Source organism: Homo sapiens, chromosome X, assembly GCF_000001405.40.
Source record: "Homo sapiens chromosome X, GRCh38.p14 Primary Assembly".
Classification (NCBI taxonomy): domain Eukaryota; kingdom Metazoa; phylum Chordata; class Mammalia; order Primates; family Hominidae; genus Homo; species Homo sapiens.
The window spans coordinates 75,788,420-75,794,419 of NC_000023.11; the positions used below are offsets into that span (position 1 = coordinate 75,788,420).

The 6,000-nt window shown below is 36.5% G+C and overlaps 1 long non-coding RNA gene across 4 annotated transcripts in view; it reads left to right on the top strand.

The window, feature by feature from the left end:
- Positions 1 to 5,191, top strand: part of LOC107985664 (uncharacterized) — a 270,484-nt gene extending 265,293 nt beyond the window's left edge. The window contains exons 4-5 of one of the 4 annotated variants that reach the window (XR_007068273.1): positions 2,873 to 3,040; positions 3,263 to 5,191. This is a non-coding gene — a long non-coding RNA (uncharacterized LOC107985664). Of the gene's footprint in view, positions 1 to 2,872 lie in introns of all 4 variants that reach the window. The other 3 variants (XR_001755894.2, XR_007068272.1, XR_001755892.2) reach the window with 3 other exon arrangements.
- The last annotated feature ends 809 nt before the right edge of the window (positions 5,192 to 6,000 follow it).

Below are 6,000 nucleotides of genomic sequence, written 5' to 3' on the forward strand. Positions count from 1 at the left end.
TTTTCATAAAAAGCTGGTCATTTATCTTATCAGGCTAATGGTTATTAAAGGCAGAATATTAAGAAGTATGGGAGTATGAGTAGCTAGAAGGTAGCCTCAAGAAGTGATAATTGATAGATAATTCAAATGGAAGGAGATGGAAACAATGTTCATAGCTGACATTGTGACTGAAATACTATGTTATCTGAGGGCATTCAGTGCAAGGACAGAAATGCCTAGATGTTCTAATTTTTCTCAAATTCTTTACTGTATAGTATAATCATGAATGACCTCGACTTACCAAGAAAAGTTAACTTTTGTTTAAGAGGGCAGATAAGTAAGTATTACAGAATTTTAAATCCAGAAAATCATAACTTTTTTTAAAAAAAAGATTGGTGCTCAAGTGAACATTATAATTACATAGAAAATTCACATACATAAAATATCATCCCTGGATGACATTGTATGGCTATAATATTGTGGTAGCTATACCCCAAATTTTTATATTTATTTCTTTATATCTAAAATTGTAATAAGCATTTAGATTCAATTCATTTTTAAGCAATAATATTTATTCAGTTTCAAATAACAAGACCTGATTATTATTAAGTTGGAGTATACAAGAACATGTCAAAATTTTTTTGAATATCCATGATTCCACCCACCCGAGATATTTGTTTTTAACATTTTAGTATTTGTTCTTCTAATTTTCTCTTTTTTCATACTTTTATTAAATACAACATTTCTATATAAAAGTGTGTAAATTATAAGTATGCAGGTCAATGAATTTTCATAAGTTGGACATATTTGTATGACAAGCAGCCAGTCAACAAACAGAATATTACCAGCAACCAGAGGTCCCCCTTACACCTCCTTCCACTCATTTGAAGACCCTCTGTCCCAAGAGTAAACATCATCTTAAGTTTTAACACCATAGATTCATTTTTGCCCATTTCTAAACTCTATATAATTGGAATTATACAGTATAGTTATTTTCGTGTCTAACATCTTTTAGTGAATATTATGTTTGTGAGATTCATGCATACTGTTGTTTATGATTATAAAACATTCGATTGTTTGCCTTATAGCTTTCTATTTTTTGAACATATATATTTTTACTCATTATAATGGCAATGGGCATTTGGGTAATTTCCAGTTTTTGGAATAAATAGTGCTGCTTTTAATATTCTAGTATATGTCATTTCATGAACTTTTGCATACACTCATATTGGGTACTTAGGAACACAATTTTTGGATCACAGATTATGCATACTTTCAGCTACTTTGAAGAATTCCCAGAAGGAGTCACACCAATTTGTACTCTCATAAGCAGAGAATGAGTGTTCTGGTTTCTCCATGTCTTAACCAATACTTGCTTTTTTTTTCCTTTTTCATGATAACTATTTTAATGAGTGGTGAAGCAGTATGGTATTATGATTTTAATTTACCTATCACTGGTAACAAATAACACTGACCTCATTTTTATGTGTTTATCAGCCACTTGGATATTCTCTTTTGTGAGATACTTGTTCAAGTGTTTTGCCCATTTTTTTCAACTGATCTGTCTTTCTTTTCTTGTTGACTTGTAAAGTTTTGTACTTTATAGATACAAGTCTTTTGTCAAATATATGTACTGCAAATGTTTTATCTCATATATTGGTTACATTTTCACAGTCTTAATGTTATCTTTCAATGAGCAGAAGTTCTTAGTCATTGTGTAGTCCACATTATCAATTAATTTCCTATGTGATTAGTGCTTTATGAGCTATGTTTAAAAAATCTTTGTGTATACCAAGGTGACAATGAGGTATTTCTGTGCCTTCTTCAAATACGATTTATTGTTTTACCTTTTATTTTGAGATGTAAAAATTATCTGGAATTTATTTTTGAGTATGATGTAAGGTAAGAGGTCGAATTTTCATTTTATTTCCACCACATGGTAAATGGTAAAATACCACACCAATTTTCAATTTATGAAGCACCATTATTGCAAAAAAGAAAACCCAGCTTTCATCATGGCATTGTAGTATCATGCTTATCGTAAATCAGGTGATCAAATATGTATGGGCTTTTTTATATCTTCTCAATGTTGTTCCATTTCTCAGGTTGTTTATCTTGCAATAATACCACACTGTCTTAATTGTTTTAATTTGATAGGTATTACTATATGGTAATGTTAGTTTTCTAGTTCTTATTAAATATTGCATTGACTATTCATGCCCCATTGCATTTTATTTAAATTTTAGAATTTATTATCAACATTCATACTTGAGAAGCCTTGGAATTTTGTCATTTCCCAATTTAAGAGAGTCAGTATTTTTAAAATATCAAGTCTTACAATCCCTTAATATGGTGTACCCCTTCATGTATTTTGATCTCTAATTTTTCTCAATATGCTTTTGAGTATAAATGCCCTCTAGATATTGACAACCAAGGATATACCTGTAGTTGAACAAATTGGGTTTATTGCTCATTAAAGGGACAACACACATTATGGAGAATTGTCTCAGTAAGTGGATGTGAAAGGGACTTATTATGAGATCTGAGCTTCATTTGTGTGATTTGGTGGAGGATGTAAAGGATGTGGGTGTTCACTCAGGATTGGATTCTGACAGGAACTAGGGGAATTCTATGTTTGGGTGTCTTAACAAATCTTATCTAGAAGGACAGAAGCTTAGAATAAGGCTAAGAATATAATTGGTAAAGGAGTGACACTCACTCATGTTAGCAAGGATATAGGTATGCTTGGTAATTTTTGTTGCAGAGACAATCTACATATTTTAATGTGCTCAGATCTGATTATACAGTAGTTATGTTTTTGTCTTGATCAGTTTTGGTCATAGATTGGTCTTATCTGAAGTTGGTGATGTGTGAAAATGTTCATGTTCAACAGGAGAGCACCAAGGCTTATCTGATAGTATACCAGGCTATGTGTAGGCTTGCATCATGAACTTTTGCTTCAGAACGACTGCTGGAATACATTAGGAAAACCAAGAGAACCCACAGTCCCTCTGAAGGAAGTGGTTTGCTCCTGCAGGACCCAGGAGACACCCCAAATACTGTGAGTGCCCAAACTGGAATTGGGAAAGGGAGATCATCCACCCCTGAACACACTCCCCCACTGGGAAACCTGAAGGTCTAGATTAGAGGAGAATATTTTGACCTTACCTGGAGCTTAGTCAATTTAGAGAGCGGACTGAAATACAGGGGTAGAGAAAGCAGCAGGGAAAGCCCTGTTGACTTACTGGGTTCCTTAGCAAGCCATTTCTGCTTTGCCTCACAGGGGTTCTTGAAGAGGACTGCCAGAAGCACTGGGGAAAGGCCACAAGGAAAAGGAAACCTCCAGCCGAGCCCTTTGGGTTGAGTGGAAGCTGGGTGAGGCCTGTGACTGCTAGCTTTCCCCCACTTCCCTGACAGCCTGTGTAACACAGTAGAGGCAGCCATAATCCTCCTAAGATCATAACTCCATTGACCTGGGAACCTCATCCCTATCCCCCACAGCAGCCACAGCAAGACATGCCCAAGGAAAGAGTCTGAGCTCAAACATGCCTAGCCCTGCCCCCACACAATGGTCTTTCCCTACGTACCCTGGTAACTGAAGACAAAGGGCATATACTCTTGGGAGTTCTAGGGCCCCACTCACCGCTTGTTTCTCCCCATAGTACCACAGCTGATGCTCTCAGGAAAGCACCCGACAGGCCAACTAGCACAAAAATAGTGAATTAAACCACCAAAGCTAAGAACCCTCACAGAGTCCATTTCACCCCCCTGCCACCTCCACCAGGACAGGTGCTGGTATCCATGGCTGAGAGACCCACAGATGGTACACATCACAGGACTCTGCAGATAACCCCCAGTACCAGCCCAGAGCCTAGTAGACTTGCTGGGTGGCTAGATCCAAAAGAGAGATAATAATCACCACAGCTTGGCTCTCAGGAAGCCACATCCATAGAAAAAGGAGGAGAGTACTACAAGGGAACACCCGGTGCGACAAAACAATCTGAACAGCAGCCTTCAGCCCTAGACCTTCCCTGTGACAGGTTCTACCCAAATGAGAATGAACCAGAAAACCAACTCTGGTAATATGAAAAAACAAAGTTCTTTAACATACCCCCAAAATCACACTAGCTCACCAGCTATGAATCCAAACCAAGAAGAAGTCCCTGATTTACCTGAAAAAGAATTCAGAAGGCTACCTATTAAGCTAATCAGGAAGGCACCAGAGAAAGGCAAAGCCGAATGTAAGGAAATTTAAAAAAAAATAAAGAGGTGAAGGGAGAAATATTCAATGAAATGGATAGCATAAATAAATAAAAACAATCAAAACTTCAGGAAACATTGGAGCAATTATGGAAATGCAAAATGCCCTGGAAAGTCTCAGCAATATAATTGAACAAGCAGAGGAAAGAATTTTAGAACTCAAGGACAAGGTTTTCAAATTAACCCAATCCAACAATGACAAATAAAAAAAATATGAACAAAGCCTTCAAGAAGTCTGGGATTATGATAAATGACAAAACCTAAGAATAGTCGGCCATCCTGAGGAAGAAGAGAAATATGAAGTTTGTAAAATGTATTGAAGAGTATAATTGAAAAAAACTTCCCTGGCCTTGCTAAAATCTAGACATCCAAATGCAAAAAACTCAAAGAACACCTGGGAAATTCATCACAAAAAGATCATTGCCTAGGCACATTGTCATCAGGTTATCTAAAGATAAGATGATAGAAAGAATCTTAAAATCTGAGGTAACCTATAAAGGAAAACCTATCAGATTAACAGCAGATTTCTCAGTAGAAACCCAACAATCTAGAAGGGAGTAGGGCCCTATCTTCAGCCTCCTCAAACAAAACACTGATCAGCTAAGAATTTTGTATCCAGCAAAACTATGCTTCATAAATGAAGGAAAGATAGAATCTTTTTCAAACAAATGCTGAGATAATTTGCTACTACCAAGCCAGCACTACAAGAACTGCTAAAACAAGCTCTAAATCTTGAAGCAAATCTTGGAATTACATCAAAATAGAACCTCTTTTTTTTCATGTCAGAGGGGTTTATTTTTTATTATTATTATACTTTAAGTTCTAGGGTACATGTGCACAATGTGCAGGTTTGTTACATATGTATACATATGCCATGTTGGTGTGCTGCACCCATTAACTCATCATTTACATTAGGTATATCTCCTAATGCTATCCCTCCCCCCTCCCCCCATGACAGGCCCCGGAGTGTGATGTTCCCCTTCCTGTGTCCAAGTGTTCTCATTGTTCAAATCCCACCTATGAGTGAGAACATGCAGTGTTTGGTTTTCTTTCCTTGCGATAGTTTGCTCAGAATGGTGGTTTCCAGCTTCATCCATGTCCCTACAAAGGACATGAACTCATCCTTTTTTATGGCTGAATAGTATTCCATGGTGTATATATGCCACATTTTCTTAATCCAGTCTATCATCGATGGGCATTTGGGTTGGTTCTGTGTCTTTGCAATTGTAAATAATGCTGCAATAAACATGCGTGTACATGTGTCTTTATAGTAGAATGATTTATAATCCTTTGGTTATATACCCAGTAGTGGGATTGCTGGGTCAAATGATATTTCTGGTTGTAGGTCCTTGAGGAATTGTCACACTATCTTCCACAATTGTTGAAGTAATTTACATTCCAACCAACAGTGTAAAAGTGTTTCTATTTCTCTACAGCCTCTTCAGCATCTGTTTTTTCTTGTCTTTTTAATAATCTCCATTCTGACTGGCATGATATCATATCTCATTGTGGCTTTGACTTGCATTTTTCTAACTATCAGTGATGTTAAGCTTTTTTCATGTTTGTTGGCTGCATAAATGTCTTCTTTTGAGAAATGTCTATTGATAGCCTTTGCCTACTTCTTGACAGGGTTGTTTGTTTTTTCATATACATTTGTTTATGTACTTTGTAGATTCTGGAGATTAGACCTTTGTCAGATAGGTAGATTGAGAAAATTTTCTCCCATTCTGTAGGTTGCTTGTTCACTCTGATGATAGTTTA